This window comes from Homo sapiens, chromosome 15 (genome assembly GCF_000001405.40).
Source record: "Homo sapiens chromosome 15, GRCh38.p14 Primary Assembly".
Taxonomy (NCBI): Eukaryota; Metazoa; Chordata; class Mammalia; order Primates; family Hominidae; genus Homo; species Homo sapiens.
In genome coordinates this window covers 31565075-31582658 of record NC_000015.10, presented here as the reverse complement: position 1 = coordinate 31582658, position 17584 = coordinate 31565075, and the positions used below count along the sequence as shown (strand labels likewise).

The following is a 17584-nucleotide window of genomic DNA, read 5'->3' as shown; positions in this document are numbered from 1 at the left end:
GTGGTAGTGAATAAGTCTCATGAGATCTGATGGTTATATAAATGAGAGTTCCCCTACACGAGCTCTCTTGCCTGCTGCCATGTAAGACTTGACTTTGCTCCTCATTCACCTTCCACCATGATTGTGAGGCCTCCCCAGCATGTGTAACTGTGAGCCAATTAAATCTGTTTCCTCTACAAATTACCCAGTCTCTGGTATGTCTTTATTAGCAGGATGAGAACAGACTAATAAATTGGTAGTGGTAGAATGGGGTGGTGCTGTAAAGATACCTGAGAATGTGGAAGCAACTTTGGAACTGGGTAACAGGCAGAGGTTAGAACAGTTTGGAGGGCTTAGAAGAAGACAGGAAAATGTGGGAAAGTTTGGAACTTCCTAGAGACTTGCTGAATGGCTTTGACCAAAATGCTGATAATTATATGGACCATAAAGTTCAGGCTGAGGTGGTCTCAGATAGAGATGAAGAACTTGTTGCTAACTGGAGCGAAGGTGACTCTTGCTATGTTTTAGCAGAGACTGGTAGCTTTTTGCCCGTGCACTAGAGATTTGTGGAAGTTTGAACTTGAGAGAGATGATTTAGGGCATCTGGCAGACGAAATTTCTGAGTAGCAAAGCATTCAAGAGGTGACTTGGGTGCTCTTAAAAGCATGTTGTTTTGTGTATTCACAAAGATATGGTTTGGAATAGGAGCTTATGTTGAAAAGGGAAGCAGAGCATAACAGTTTGGAAAATTTGCAGTCTGATAATGCAGTAGAAAAGAAAAACCCATTATCTGGGGGGAAACTCAAGCCAGCTGCAGAAATTTCCGTAAGTAATGAGGCATCACATTTTAATTGCCAGGACAATGGGGAAAATGTCTCCAGGCATGTCAGTGGTCTTCACAGCAGCCTCTCCCATCACAGGAGGCCTGGAGGCCTAAGAGGAAAAAATGGTTTCATGGGCCAGGCCCAGGGCCTTGCTGCTTTGTGCAGTCTCAAATCCCAGCCATGGCTAAAAAGGGCCCATGTAGAGCTCAGGCCACTGCTTCAGAGGGTGCAAGTCCCAAGCCTTGGCAGCTTCCACATGGTGTTAAGCCTGCAGGTGCACAGAAGTCAAGAAGTGAGGTTTGGGAACCTCCACCTAGATTTCAGAGGATGTATGGAAATGCATGGGTGTCCATGCAAAAGTTTACTGCAGGAGCAGAACCCTCATGGAGAACCTCTGCTAGTGCAGTGTGGAAGGGAAATGTGGGATGGGAGCCCCTACACAGAGTCCCTACTGGGGCACTGCCCAGTGGAGCTGTGAGAAGAGGGCCACCATCCTCCAGACCCCAAAATGATAGATCCACCAACAGCTTGCACTGTGCACCTGGAAAAGCTGTAGACACTCAATGCCAGCCTGTGAAAGCAACTAGGAGGAGGGCTGTACCCTGCAAAGCCACAGGGTGGAGCTGCCCAAGACCATGGGAACCCACCTCTTGCATCAGCATAACCTGGAAGTGGCATGGAGTCAAAGGAGATCATTTTGGAGCTTTAAGATTTGACTGCCCTGCTGGATTTTGAACTTGCATGGGGCCTGTAGCCCCTTCCTTTTGGCCAAGTGTTTACCCATTGCATGTACCCCCATTGTATCTCGGAAGTAACCAACTTGCTATTGATTTTACAGGCTCGTAGGTGGAAGGGACTTGCCTTGCCTCGAGACTTTGGACTGTGGAGTTTTGAGTTAATGCTAAAATGAGTTAAGACTTTGGGGGACTGTTGGGAAGGGATGATAATTTTTGAAATGTGAGGACATGAAATTTGGGAGGGGCCGGGGGTGGAATTATATGGTTTGGCTGTGTCCTCACCCAAATCTCACCTTGAATTGTAATAATCCCCATGTGTCAAGGGCAGGGTCAGGTAGAGATAGTTGAATCATGGGGACAGTTTCCCCCATACTGTTCTCATGGTAGTAAATAAGTCTCACAAGATCTGATGGTTATATAAATGTGAGTTCTCCTGCACAAGCTCTTGCCTGCCACCATGTAAGACATGACTTTACTCCTCATTCACCTTCCACCATGATTGTCAGGCCTCCCCAGCCATGTGTAACTGTGAGTCAATTAAACCTCTTTCCTTTATAAATTAGACAGCCTTTGGTATGTCTTTACTAGCAGCATGAGAACAGACTAATACAGGTGTCCACCTAGCATTCATTTTGCACCAGTATTGCGCAAATGCAAATGCAGTCTCTGCTATGCAACCAGAGTAATTTTTCTTAAATGCAAATACTTTATTTTCTAAATTAAAAATCTCATCAAGTTTCACCCCTATTGAAAATGCCTCAGTGACTCATCTTTGCCTTTGAGGTCAAATCTAAACCCCACTGTACAATTCCTGCAGGGCATCTCTCTCCTGGCATCTCATCCTCCCTGCCGCCCTGCTACCATCATCCTAACCAGACCTCTCCTCCTGCTGCCCTCCACTTCATCCACACTTAATGACCTCAGTACCTTGAATGTACTTGCCCATTCTACTTTCAGGTTTATCCAGACGCAACTTTCTGTCCAGTAACACCCCTCTCCCTGCTCACCCTGCTGGATTCTTTGCCAAGACAACTTTTACTCTTCTTTTTGATCTCAGACTAAAATGACACTTCTCCCAGGGAGCCCCTTGGATCCCAAATTATAGTGGTTCTTTCCTAGATATCCTGGTGGAATCTGTACTTCTACATAGCACATAGTTTTCACTGCCATTGTTTGTTCTCTGTATTTTTCCCTACATTATTTAGGAATGCGTTGGGCTCCAAGTAATGGAAAACACAAAACAGTGGATTGTGTGGTACAGATATGCACACGTGCACTCGCACACATAATATATATAGTGTGTATGAGTGCACATATATACTATCTAGAGAGAGTATATATGTATTGAAACTGTGGATTAGGGGAGCTATTGTATGTGTGTGCATGTGTATACATGTGCATATATACATATATACATACACACATGCACATACATACAATAGCCCCCCTTATCCACGGTTTCACTTTTAAAGGTTTCAGTTTTACCTGTGGTCAATCACGATCTGAAAATACTAAATGGAAAATTCCAGAAATCATAAGTTTTAAATCATGCACCATTCTGAGTAGCATGATGAAATCTCACTCTGATGTGAATCATCCCTTTGTCCAGTGGGTCCAGGCTGAACATGTCACCCACCCGTTCATCACTAAGTGGCCATCTCGGTTATCAGATCAGCTATTCTGGCATCACAGTGCCTGTGTTCAAGTAACCCTTCTTTTACTTAATAGTGGCCCCAAAGTACAAGAACAGTGATACTGGCAATTTGGATAAGACAAAGAGAAGCCATAGTGTGCTTCCTTTAAGTGAAAAGGTGAAAGTTCCTGACTTAAAGAAAAAGATATTTTTTATTACAGTATTTGTTACAATATACTGCACCTGCACTGTGGGCCTGCTGCTTTTTCTGCCCAATCCCCTTACAAACTTCCTGCCTCATGTTTTTTCCTCAGATTTTTCCAGGACCTGACCTTCTTCAGATACAAACCTCTTGTATGTGATATGAGTTGCAAACATTTTCCCAAATCGACAACTGTCTTTTAACATTTTGTGCATATTTGATTCTCTTTGGGGCTTTTTCATTGTTAACGAAAAGAGTCAAACTCTGAAATATTTGGAGAGACATTTGGAGCCAAATATGAGTGACCATGGCCCATGACACAGGTCTCGGAGATCCTAATAACATGTGCCCAAGGTGGTTGGGGCACAGCTTGGTTTTACACATTTTAGGGAGACATGAGACATCAGTCAAATACATTTAAGATGTACACTGGGGCCAGGCACAGTGGCCCATGGCTGTAATCCCAGTGCTTTGGGAGGCCAAGGCAGCAGATCACCTGAGGTCAGGAGTTTGAGACCAGCCTGACCAACATGGGGAAACCCCACCTCTACTAAAAATACAAAAAGTAGCTGGGCGTAGTGGCAGGCGCCTGTAGTCCCAGCTACTTGGGAGGCTGAAGCAGGAGAATTGCTTGAACCTGGGAGGCAGAGATTGCAGTGAGCTGAAATTGCACCACGGCACTCCAGCCTGGGTGACAAAGTGAGACTCTGTCTCAAAAAAAAAAAAAGGACATTGGTTTGGTCTGGAAATGTGAAACAGTGCAAAGTGGGGGCTTCCAGATTATAGGTAGATTTAAAATTTTTCTAATTGGCAGTTGGTTGAAAGAGTTATTAATAGAAAGGAATGTCTGGTTTGTGATAAAGAGGTTGTTGAGACCAAAGTTTTATTATGCAGATGAAGCCTTCAGGTAGCAGGCTTCAGAGAGAATAGATTTTAAATGTTTCTTATCAGACTTAAGTCCAATTAGATGTTAAATGCTGGATGTTAAATGTGGATGTTAAATGCTGGTCAGCTTTTAAATGCTGGATATTAAATGTGGATATTTAAATGTTAAATGCTGGATGTTAAATGCTGGTCAGCTTTTCCTGCATTCCAAAAAAGAGGAGGGCATAATGAGGCCTGTCTGACTCCTACTTCCCACCTTGGCCTGAACCAGTCTTTCAGGTTAAATTTTAGGGTACCCTGGCCAAGGAGGGAGCCTATTTAGATGGTTGTCGGGGGGCCTTCAAATTTTATTTTTGGTTTACACTATTATGTTCCATTGTTGAGTCTGATCAGAGACTAGTCATTGAGGCAGTAGAGTTCATGCCAGTGTCTCAGAGTGCTCCTTCCTTCTCTTTGTACTTACTTTTCAGAGTTTCTCTGGTTATTCTTGCTTATTTTTTGATGTGAATTTAAAATCAGCTTGTCCGATTCCAAGGAAGGAAAACAAAACCTGCTTCTGTGTTGTTTTTTTTTTTTTTTACTGGAATCAAATCAAATGTATAAGTTAGAGGAATAAATTACAACATTAAGTCTCCTAAACTAGGAACATAGTATTGTTGATGGAAAAACCAAATTCTGTAAAATATATATATATTTTTTGAGACGGAGTCTTGCTCTGTCGCCCTTCTGAGCCAGTACGAATGACCATGACCCAGGGAACAGTCTTAAGAGATCCTGAGAACAAGCGCCCAAGGTGATCAGGTTACAGTTTTGTTTTATACATTTTAGGGAGACAGAAGTTACAAGCAAAGACATGGATCAATACATGTAAGGTATACATTGGTTCAGCTTAAAAAGGTGGGACGTCTCAAAGATGCTTAGAAAGGCAAGGAGTGGGGATGGTCACAGGTCATAGGTGGATTCAGAGAGATTTTCTAATTGGCAATTTGTTGAAAGAGTTCAGCTTTGCCTAAAGATTTGAAGTCAGTAGAAAGAAATGCTTGAGTTAAGATAAGGGGATTGTGGAAGCCGAGGCTCTTGTTTTGTAGAGGAAGTCTCCAGCTAGCAGCCTTCAGAGAGAATACATCGCAAATGTTTCAGACCTTACAACGTGTCAGACTCTTAGTTAATCTTTCCTGAATCCAGGAAAGTGCTAGCTGCGTTAATGGAGAGTCTCTACAGATGCAAATTTCCCCCACAAAGATAGCTTTGCAGAGCCATTTAAAAATATTTCAAAGAAATATATTTTGGAGTAAAATATATTTGATTTCCTTTAGAGTCTGCTATCTGTCATGTGATGCTTACCAGAGTCAGGTTGGAATTTGGTATCTCATTGCTACACAGTCTGTTTGGTGATCTCTATTTTATGATCTCTATTTTAATGTTAATGCTGGTCTGTTGTGTCTAAACTCCAAAAGAAAGGCGGTATTACAAGGTGTGTCTGACCTCCCTTCCAGCCATGTCCAGGAATTCAGTTTTTCAGGCATCTCTGAGGTCCTCTTGGCCCAGAGAGGGTTCATTTGGTTAGTTGGTGGGGATTAGGATTTTATTTTCAGTTTACGATATACACAGTTTAACTTTTATGCCCTTCAGGAATATTCTAAGTTTTCCACATTTATGTTGTTGTTGACAAAAAGATTCAAGCTCTGTAAGACATTTGAAGATATTTATTCTGAGCCAAATATGAGTGACCAATGGTCCATGACATAGCCCTCAGGAGATCCTGAGTGCATGTACCCAAGGTGGTCAGGGCACAGTGGGGTTTTATACACTTTAGGGAGACATGAGACATCAATCAATATGTGTAAGACGTACATTTGTTTTGTCTGGGAAGGTGGGACAACTTGACCTGGGGGCTTCCAGGTCATAGGTAGATAAGAGATAAAAGTTTGCATTCTTTTATGTCTTTGATCAGCCTTTCACTGAATACACAATTTACATGTGAGAGGCAGGTAGAGGAATAATCACTTATGCCTTAGTCTGACTCAGTAAATCTGAATTTTTACATAAACAATAGGGCAGAGGAAGCAACCAGATATGCATTTGTCTCAGGTGAGCAGAGAGATGACTTAGAGTTCTGTCTGTCCTTTGTCCCACACCTGTGGGATAAGCTATCAATTTACATTGCCAGGGTAAAATGCCACAGAACTGTTTTAGGGCTCTGAGTCCCTAAAGAAAGATCTTGAGGCCCATAAGGAATTTCCTGGTGAGCAAATTGTGAGGGAGGTATGTAGTGTTTTTTATCTTTTTAGCTATCTTATTTAGGAATAAAATGGGAGGCAGGTTTGCCTGACACCCTTTGGCTTAGTGATTTTGGGGTCTTGAGATTTATTTTTCTTTCACATTGTGTACATTTCTTTTAAATATATCCCTCAGTACTTTATCATTTTAGTTGCAATTGTGTATGGAATATTCTTCCATTATGTCTTCTAACATGTTTTTCTTCACAGATTAAGGCTATTTATTTATGTGTGTTCATTTCACATCCCGTGTATTCAGCACTAATGCCCTTCACGGACTATGTCCAGCTCTCTGCCTCCCGCTTGTGGGCACATGGGAGGATGTAGTTCCTGGGCCCCGTGTTTGGAGGGAGCCTGTGGCTAGTTCTTGCCATGGATTGTAACAGAGGTGAGATATCACCTCTGGACCAGAGTATTTGATTTTTGATGGGAGATGCTCCTGGCTTTTTATCCTTCTTCCACAGTCATAGGCTTATAGTGGCTGCTCTATAAGCCTGAATCCTGGAATGACAAGCTATGTCACAGAGTTCAGTCAACCCATGGTGGATGTGTGGAACAAGCAAAAAGTAAACCTGTGTTGTTATGACCTCTAGGATTTGGAGGCTGTTTGTTACCATGTTATAGTCACTCCTGCTGTTTATGGTACGCTCTAGGTAATTGTGGTGTCAGTGTAGTGTGTTTCATGGTAGTTTCCACTTTATAAAGTTTCTGCCTTTTAATTTCCTATGCAGATATTCATACCTCTTATATCTTCTGTTTTCATATGTACTTTGGATTTGTTTTAATCAGGTATGCAGATATGGAAATTATTGTTATAAAGGAAGAAGTTTGTTACTCACAATTCCCTGGAAGCAGGGTGTACAACATACCACACAGGGCTACATGGGGAAGCCCTGTTTCTGTATTTCTGTTTTAGGTTGGCTACTTGACTTATTTTTCATTTTTATCATTCCTACTGTGCTATCTGTAGTCTGTTTTCTCTTTTCTCCCTTATAATTTAACTTCATTTCTAAAACAGTTTGACTCCTTTTCCCCCCTGAGTTTAATCAGTTTCTGTTTCACAGTCAGGAGGCAGAGTGAGTAGGAGGAAAACCAGAGCAAGAGCCTTTGTTGCAGTTTCCATGGGAAGGATTGGGCAGGGCACGGCAAGCAGGCTAAGCTGGTTGAGGGTTGGCTAGTCTGAGTAATTCCAGCAGGCCCAAAGTGGAGGGGCTGTCCTGAGTTATCTGGTACCTGGCCCTGGGCTGATTAGAGGAGGGGAATATTGGCCTGCAGTGTAGGAAAGGCTGTGGTTGAGGGGTCTGGGCTTTGGATTAATGGGTTTATATATGAAAGGCAGGCTTGCAGAAAAGTAGTTTGTCATCTCTAGGAATTTGCTAGCCCAAGGAGATGCAGCTTCTCCCAGGTCACAAAGGCCCCAAGATGTCAAAGCGTCATAAAATACAAAGAATAAAAAACATGATTAATATACTTCATTGCCAATTGAACAGTTTTGCCTTATAAAGTGGTTTTCCTCATATTACTTAATGCTTTTTGGCCTGAATTCTACCTTGTTTGATACAAGATCATAATCTCAGTTTTGTTGTTACTGTTGTTTTGTCTTTGTCTTGTGTACCTGATAAACTATTATCTATCTGTTTTAGTTGTGACCTTTATAAATCACTTTGCTCTAGGTGTGTCTCTTATATACAGCAAATGATTCATCTTTCTTTTTAGAGATAATGTAAAAATCCTTTTCTTTAAATAGTTGCATTAAGCCTACTTAAATTTATTGCTCTCACAGATACGGTTGGTTTTAGTTCTGTCATAGTTTCTATTTTTCTGTGTAAATATTTTAAATGTCTTTCACTATGTTATCTTAGCTTTTTATTTTAGAATATTTTTTCTGATATTTTAAAAAACTATGTTAATGGTTACTTTTTTAACCACTAGTATAACAATACAATTATGTTTATAACTAGTGGTTATATAAGTTTGCCTTTATGTAATATCCTATATCCCTTTTTCTTTAGACAATATCAGTTTATTCCCTATATGCCTCAATAAAACAAGCTTCTATCTTCTTCCTTCATTCTCCCCTCTCTCTTCTACCATCTAATTTAACCAATAGTATATCTTTTGTCTGTTCTTATTGTTTGCCCTTCTACTATTAAATATGCTTACATATACATATTTGACCTGTCAACTGTAGTTTTGTTTTTTTTGTTGTTGTTATGTTTGAGACGGAGTCTTGCTCTGTCGCCCAGGCTGGCATGCAGTGGTGCAATCTCAGCTCACTGCAACCTCCACCTCCCAGGTTCAAGCAATGCTTGTACCTCAGCCTTCTGAGCAGCTGGGACTACAGGCGTGTCCCACCATGTCCAGGTAATTTTTGTATTTTTGGTAGAGACAGGGTTTCGCCATGTTGGCCAGGCTAGTCTCAAACTCCTGACCTCAAGTGATCTGCCTACTTTGGCCTCCCAAAGTACTGGGATTACAGGTGTGAAACACTGCACCTGGCCTGATCTGTCAACTGTAAACATTATCTTTGCAGTCTCATGTATAACAGCTGAGGCATTGCAAATTTATTCTGCTTTCTAAATTCTACCATTTTTGTTGATTGTGTCATTTTCATTTTGACAGAATATTGATATTCTTCTTCATCACTTGTATCTCTACCTTTGCTTTTCCTTAGATGTGCAGTTAAATAAACTTACTGCTGCCTGACTGCTCCTTTGCCAGACTCTTATTCATCTCTTGATTGGCTGGAGTTCATCCTCTATTAATTTTCTCAAAAAGTGTCCATTTGAGAAATGTTTTCTGAACGATTCATGTTTAAAATGGTTTGTCTACAGCCTTTATACAGAAAAGAGTAGACTGGATGGGCATAAAGCTTTCTTAGCTCATATTGCTTTCTTTCCTTCAGTATCTTGTAGATGTGGCCCTATTGTCTTTTGGCATTGACTGTTGCTGCCAAGAAGTATGTTGCTAACCTGATTTTCTTTCTTTTTTGCTTACATATTTAAAAAATTCTCTTTATCTTTAAAAGAGGATAATTTTAAAATATGTTGGTATTGGCTATACTAGAACAGTTTCCTTATATACAGTGTGCCCTTTAAATGTGTAAAATCAAATATTTCAAAAAGTTTGCTTTTTTAATTAAAGTCTTTAAATTCTTTTTTTTTCCTTTCCATTATTTCAGGTTTTTTATTTGGGGCTCAAATTATGAGTATGTTGGATTTTTTTACCTATACTCGGTATCTAACATTTTTCTTTAACCCTGTGTTTCTTTATTTCTGTTTTGTCTACTTTACTTTTCATTTTTATCATTCTTACTATGCTATCTGCAGTCTGTTTTCTCTTTTCTCCCTTATAATTTAACTTCATTCCTAAAACAGTTTGACTCCTTTTTCCCCTGAGTTTAGTCAGTTTCTGTTTCACCTCCTCCTGTGAGTTCATGTATATCTGATTTATAGTTTTTCTTCAGAGCTGTGATACTTTTGTACTAAATTAAAGCAGCTCATCCCTCTCTGAGTGCCAAAATACATATGTTAAGTTTAACTTGAAATCCACTGCCTCTTAAGACAATGAAAAAAAATCAAATGATTTAGGAGTTTAAGGCATAAACATTTTCAGCAGTAAACTGTACTAGAGGTTGTAGTTCTTACCATGAAATCTGTGTCTACTAGTAATCCAATAACTTGCTTTTTGGTGATAATCAGAAATTGAGGCATCCTGGAAGAAAAACTTCACAGGAAGCTTCCTCAGTCTTTGAATTATTTTGGTTAAGGTCTTCTTCCATACAGCTATACTGTCTTGCTGCTTGGAGGAACTATTCCTGGAAGAAGAAACAGAGTAAGCAAATACAGAAAGATAGGACAACAGGAATACAGTTTGAAGATCTGCAGGAGAAAATGAATATTTTCAGCTGTGTGTATTGCTATCCAAAATAAATTAGAATTCTGAACATATAGAATTAGATAAGGAGACTAGAAATTGGATAGTCAGCTAATATCTCCCATAGTCAAATATTTGGCTTTAAAACTTAGGATGTAAGTTGTAACTAGAATTAAGCTTATTCTCATAGAGATGGAATTAATCTTCAAAGGAGGGTATAAATTAAGAGAAAAGAAGAGCAAGAAGAAAAATTAGGGGAATCCATGTGTTTTAAGGGCAGGAAGAGGCAAAGGAAACAGTGAAGGGACCATAGAGTGTCCCAGGGTGCAGAAGAGGAAGTGTGAAAATATCCATGTTAGAATTAGGCTTCTACTGCCCTCCCATGGACTTTATGGCCTCAGTGTGTTTGGGAGATGGCATTAGTAACAGTTGAATGAGAAACTCACGGAGTATAGATAAGTCCGTGTATTTGAATCTCAGCTCCGTTGCTTACTAGCTGGCTTTTAACTCTGAGTGCTGGAAGTTAAACATAAAACAGAAACCTATAATTAATGAGAATAATGGTAACTACCATGTATTAGTGCTTTCCATAAAGGAAGAACTTTACAAACACTATCTCCTTTTCTCATTTAACCCTCATAAGAATTCTCATTAGATGGATTGTGTTATCCTAATTGTACAGGAAGGAATGCAAGGCCTTGGGTGATGAAATGATATATTCACCATCAGAGAATTAGTTAGAAGGTGGAACCAGGGCTCAAAACCAGGCCCTAGAACCTGTGTTCTTGACTGTTCTTCTGGGTTGCATTCCTTCATCAGGGACATGTAGCCTGTGGCTGCCCCAGTCTTCCAGCCTCAGGTTTCACCATGGGCCTCTGCGCCTTTCCTTCTCATCCTTACTTGATGTGACATCTGTTGGGGTTCCCAGTAACTTAAAATGGAAAAGATGAGAAGAGAGCTTATTTTTATTTGCTCCTTAAAATTAAGGCTAAGTTTTTAATTCTTTGATTTCTTTTTAAAATTTTTTAATTTTTAATTGTTATGGATACATAATAGTTGTATGTATTGATATATACATACATCAATATGTATATTGATGGGGCAGATGTGATATTTTGATACCAGCCTACAATGTATAATGATCAAATCTGGCTAATTGGGATATCCATCACCTCAAACATGCATCATTTCTTTTGTGTTGGGAACATTCCAAATCTACATTTCTAGTTATTTTGAAATATACATTAAGTTATTGTTAACTATAGTTGCCCAATCGTGCTATAGGATGATGCCTAACTGAATCGGGTGTAGTGTGTGATACTCCTTCCTGCCGTTACAAGCCCACTGACTCTCAGAGTCGGGAATCAGAGTGCCCACGCTGCCTCCAACTCCCCAGTGTAGCTGTGCCTAGTGCTGCGAAGTGCCAGTCCAGCACCCCGTGTCGGGGTGGGAGCCCTGCTGAGTGCGTACCCACGCTGGGCACACCTGCCCAGCCTGGCATCACACCTGGTGCAGGGCCTGAGCTCAGAAGCCTATCTCCCACCAAAGCTCACTAACAAGAGAATCCCTCCCAAGCTTCTGCTTCGCTCATATTAAGCTTAAAATAAAAAGTAAAACTCTGAGCAAAAGCCCAAAGAAACTTTGAGAATTATTTCAATTCATTTTTCTTTAATTGATGCTTTGTTCCCCTCAGAGAGTAAGCTCTACAACTTGATTTTCAAAGGGGGATGTGATGATCAGGGATGCAGTGTTTAGATGTGTGTGTGTGTGTGTGTGTGTGTGTGTGTGTGTGTGTGTGTGTATGAACCTAAAGGCTCTGAGACTGTATATAGTCACATATTTTAGATGGACGTCACTTATGGGTGTGAAATTCTGCTTTTAGAGTCATGCAGAGGGCCATTTTTCCCCTTTGAAAAACAAGAACTACTGGTAAAAATTCATTAGTTTATGTCCTAATGGGAAACCCTTCTTGTCACAGTTCTTCTCTATGATGAGACCGTTATTCATGCGTTCGTATTGTCACCTCTTGTCATTTCTTGTCCACAGGCAAAAACTGGGACCTGACAGCCGCTCTGAGCGACTATGAGCAGCTCCGCCAGGTGCACACAGCCAATCTGCCACATGTGTTCAATGAAGGGCGGGGTCCCAAGCAGCCAGAGCGAGAGCCACAGCCCGGGCACAAGGTGGAGCGACCCTGCCTGCAGAGGCAGGACGACATTGCCCAAGGTACCGCTGAGGGACTGAGCCTAGGCACAGCCGCCCAGGCCAGTGCACCGCAGCTTGCAGGCGGGTTGCGTGGTACAAAGAATGGTGGGGTCATCACCTCCCGGATGCAGACATATTGGCCTCTCAGTGCCTTCTTTCTCACACTATGCCGAAATGTCCTTTGTTGCTTCTATCCATGGTTCCAACCTCTACCTCAGAAAAGCAGAAAAATGAGTCTGATTTCCTAGGACCCCAAAAGCCCAATAAGTGAGTAAAAGCCAGCATTCCTCCTGGAGTCTTGGTTTTTTCAGACCAAACATCTCTAGTTCTTTCACATATTTCCAAAGTAACACAGTCTCCAAGTCTGTTCAGCATCACATTTCTTGTCCCATGCGCTCCATCTTCTCTATCCTTTTTCTTCATTATGAAAGTAAGATATGCTTATTATAACAAAGGAAACAATACAGAGATATATGAGGAAAACTTAAGAGCATTCGCCTCCACACCTCCCAGATCTCACCAGTGTAATGACGGCTGATAACATTCTGGTGGTCTCCTCCTGCTCCTCTTGCTATATTGTTCAAAATCAAACACATCAGAGTCAAATGCACAGCACACTGCAAAGTGCTTGTTTCACTGAGCAGGAGATGATGAACATAATCTCTCAATAGCTACATTTTATTCTATAATGTGTTAATTTTTAGATCACTGCTGTATTCATGGTGATTCTGTTTTTGCTTGGGTTTTTGTCGTTGTTATTATTTGTTAATTGCCACTGAAAGCAATGCTGAAAGAAACATCTTTATACCTCTAATCTTACATACTGGTGCTTTTGTTTCTATGGGTTTGCATTCCCAGAATGGATTTGCTGTGCCAACACATGTGTGTTTCTAGCTTAATAATTTTAGGGCTTCTTTCCTAATATATTGCTACTCACCATGTGTGAAACCGGGTGTTTCCCTTCAATCTTGCCAGCACTGGAAATTACAATGTATGGTGTGCTGGGCCATTCTTTCACTGCTGTAAAGAAATACCTAAGGTTGGGTAATTTATTTTAAAAAGAGGATTTCTTGGCTCGTGGTTCTGCAGGCTTTACAGGAAGTATGGTGCTGGCATCTGCTCAGCTTCTGGGGAGGCCTCAGGAAGCTTACAATCATGCAGAAGGCAAAGGGGGAACAGGCACTTCACATGGCCAGGGTAGGAGCAGGAGAGAGTGAGTTGGAAGGCAGAGGTGCTGCATACTTTTAAATGATCAGATCTCATGTGAACTCAGAATGAGAGCTCACTTATCACCAAGGGGTTGGCCCGAGCCATTCATGAGGGATCTGCCCCCGTGATCCAAACACCTCCCACTAGGCCTTACCTCCAAGATGGCGGATTGCATTTCAATATGAGATTTGGGTGGTGACAAATATCCAAACTATATCAATCCACTCCTGGGCCCTCCCAAATCTCATGTCCTTCTCATTGCAAAATACAATCATGCCTTCCCAACAGTCCCTCAAAGTCTTGACTTGTTCCAGCATTAACTCAAAAGTCCAAACTCTTGTCTGAGTCAAGGCAAGTCCCTTCCACCTGTGAGCCTGTAAAATCAAAAACAAGTTATTCACTCCCAAGATACAATCGGGTAAACATTCCCATTCCAAAAGGGAGACATTGGCCAAAAGAAAGGGGCTCCAGGCCTCACACAAGTTCAAAACCCAGCAGGACAATCATTAAACCTTAAAGTTCCAAAATAATCTCCTTTGACTCCATGTCTCACATCCAGGGCACACCAGTGCAAGAGGTGGACTCCCAAGACCTTGGGCAGCTCTGCCCCTGTGGCTTTCCAGAGTTCAGCCCCCATGGCTGCTCTCTGCTTTCAGCTTTTCCAGGTGCAGGGTGCAAGCCACTGGTAGATCTACCATTCTGGAGTCTGGAAGGTGGTGGCCCCCTTCTCACGGCTTTACTAGGCAGTGCCCCCATGAGGACTCTGTGTGGGGCCTCCAACCTCACATTTCCCCTTGGCACTGCCCTAGTAGACGTTGTGTGTGAGGGCTATGCCCCTGCTGCAGGCTTCTGCCTGGACACCCAGGCTTTTCCATACATCCTCTGAAATCTAGGCAGAGGTTGCCAAACCTCATTCACTCTTGCATTCTACATGTCTACAGGTTTAACACCATGTGAAAGTCACCAAGGCTTATGGCTTGCACCCTCTGAAGCAGCAGCCTGAACTGTATCTGGGACCTTTTGAGCCAAGGCTGGAGCTGGAGCAGCCAGGATGTGGGGAGCAGTGTCCCAAGGCTACACAAGGTAGCGGGGCCCTGGGCCTGGCCCATGAAACCATTCTTTCCAACTAGGCCTGTAGGCCTTTGATGGGAGGGGCTGCTGTGAAGGTCTCTGAAATGCCTTCAAGGCTTTTTCTCCATTGTCTTAGGTAATAGCACTCATTTAGCTTCCTTTTCGTCATGCAAATATCTCTAGCAAGTAGTTGCTCCTCAGGCTGCTTGAATTCTTCTGAAAAAGCTTTTTCTTTCTTTGCCACATGGCTAGGCTGCAAATTTTTCAAACTTTTACATTCTGCTTCCCTTTTACATTCTGCTTCCCTTAAATATAAGTTCCAACTCCTATCTTTGCTGCAGCATCTGAATGCAGACTGTTAGAAGCAGCCATGCCACCTCTTGAATACTTTGCTGCTTATAAATTTCTTCTACCACATACCCTAAATCATCAAGTTCAGACTTCCACAGATCCCTAGGGTATGAACAGAATGCAGCTGAGCTCTTTGCTAAGGCAAAACACGTGACCATTTGCTCCAGTCCCCAATAATTTCTTCATATCCATCTAAGACCTCCTCAGCCTTGACTCTGTTGTCCATTTCATTATCCGTATTTTGGTCATAACCATTTAACCAGTCCCTAAGAAGTTCCAAACTTTCCCTCACTTGCTGTCTTCTTCTGAATCCTCCAGACTTCCAACTTCTGCCCATTACCCAGTTCCAAAGTTGCTTTCACATTTTCAGGTACCCCCTTGGTACTGATTTTCTGTGTTAGCCCTTTCTTGCATTGCTATGAAGAAATATCTGAGGCTGGGTAATTTATAAAGAAAAGAGGTTTACTTGGCTCATGGTTCTGCAGGCTTTATAGGAAGCATGGTGCCGGCATCTGCTCAGCTTCTGGGGAGGCCTCAGGAAGCTTAAAATCATGGCAGGCCTCAGGAAGCTTAAAATCCCAAAGAGGGAACAGGCACTTTACATGGCCAGAGCTGGAGCAAGAGAGAGAGAGTGGTGGGTGGGAGGTGCCACACACTTTTAAATGACCAGATTGCGTGTGAACTGAGCAAGAGCTCACTTATCACCAAGGGGATAGTCCAAGACATTCATGAGGGATCTGCTTCTAATCCACACACCTCCCACCAGACCCCCCCTCCAAGATTGGGGATCACATTTCAACTTGAGATTTGGAGACAAATATTCAAACTACATCAAATGTGTTTATGTTGTTTTTCTACTCTGAAGAGTGGAAAATGGTGTCTTGTCTCATCTTGTCATTTGCTTCTTAGGCCATTGGATTTCCCCTTTGTAACGTGGCTGTTCGCATACTTTGTCCATTTTTCTATTGATTGGTTTGTCTTTTCTTATCAATTTGTTGCTCTCTTTGTAATAAAGACTAAAACATATATTTCCTCTATATGTATATGTGTTTTTCCCACATATCACTTGCCTTATGACTTTCTTTTCAGAATATTTTCCCATACACAATGTTTACATTATCTTGTTCTCATGGCTGATGAGCTTTCTCTCTCACTTTGGAAGGTTTCTTGGACTACAGAATTACTGAAATATATTCTTTTTTTTTTTTTTTTCTTTTGAGATGGAGTCTCACTCTGTCGCCCAGGCTGGAGTGCAGTGGCGCAATCTCGGCTCACTGCAAGCTCTGCCTCATGGGTTCACACCATTCTCCTGCTTCAGCCTCCCGAGTAACTGGGACACAGGCACCCGCCACCACGCCTAGCTAATTTTTTGTATTTTTAGTAGAGACAAGGTTTCACCGTGTTAGCCAGGATGGTCTCGATCTCCTGACCTTGTGATCCACCTACCTCGGCCTCCCAAAGTGCTGGGATTACAGGCGTGAGCCACCGTGCCCGGCCTGAAATATATTCTTATATTTAATTTAAATTTTGTTCTTTGAGTCTTTTCATCAATTTGAAATTTTTGTAAATAGCAAAGAATCTGGTTTTGCTTTCTCCTGGATTGAGAGAGAGTTATTCAAGTACATTTTCCCACTGAACTAAATGCCAGCTTTGCCTTATATTAAATTCTCAACATACCTGGACCTATTTCCATACCTTGTTCTGCCCACCCCTGTGGCTGCCCCCCTGTTACACTTGACTCAGTGGTTTCACAGGGTCTCACCCTCACCTTCTATTGCTATGCTTTTCCTTTTTTTGTGTGTGCTGTTTTTGAATATTTATTTTGCCATCTAAACCTTAAAATTATAATTCTGAGTGGAATTGGAATGGATTTTTATTTAATTTTAAAAATAATTTGCATTTATAATATTGTTCTTCTATCCAAGAACATTATGTATGCCTCTCCACATATTCAGATTCTGTTCAGATTTTAAGCATGGAAAAAAGAAACTCATTTTTTACTTATTTATCTTTTATCCAGTGAACTACATAAATTCTCTTATTAGTCATTTGCTTAATGACTAAGAGAATCACTTGGATATCTAAGTATACAATAGTATCATCTGAAATAATTGTAAGTTCTTCTTCATATTTATACAATTAATTCAGTTTTTTATTTTATTGAATTAGGTAGACTCTCCTGAACTGTTGCAAATGAATGCTGTCTTTGTTTCTATTAGCTCAGCCTATTATTCAAGCTATATTGAATCTATATCTTGGATTATTCTCAACTGTTTATTCTGTTGTTTAGAAAAGCCATAATTGAGTTAGAAATTTTAATACATATTATCTGT

The 17584-nt window shown here is 41.2% G+C and overlaps 1 protein-coding gene across 3 annotated transcripts in view; it reads left to right on the top strand.

Moving 5' to 3' along the window:
• The window catches only part of OTUD7A (OTU deubiquitinase 7A), a 395276-nt gene that overhangs the window by 288015 nt on the left and 89677 nt on the right, over nt 1–17584 (top strand). For all 3 annotated transcript variants that reach the window (NM_001382637.1, NM_130901.3, NM_001329907.2), the window contains one exon: nt 12462–12641. In NM_001382637.1, coding sequence (NP_001369566.1) covers nt 12462–12641 — 180 coding nt within the window. The remainder of the gene's footprint in view (nt 1–12461; nt 12642–17584) is intronic.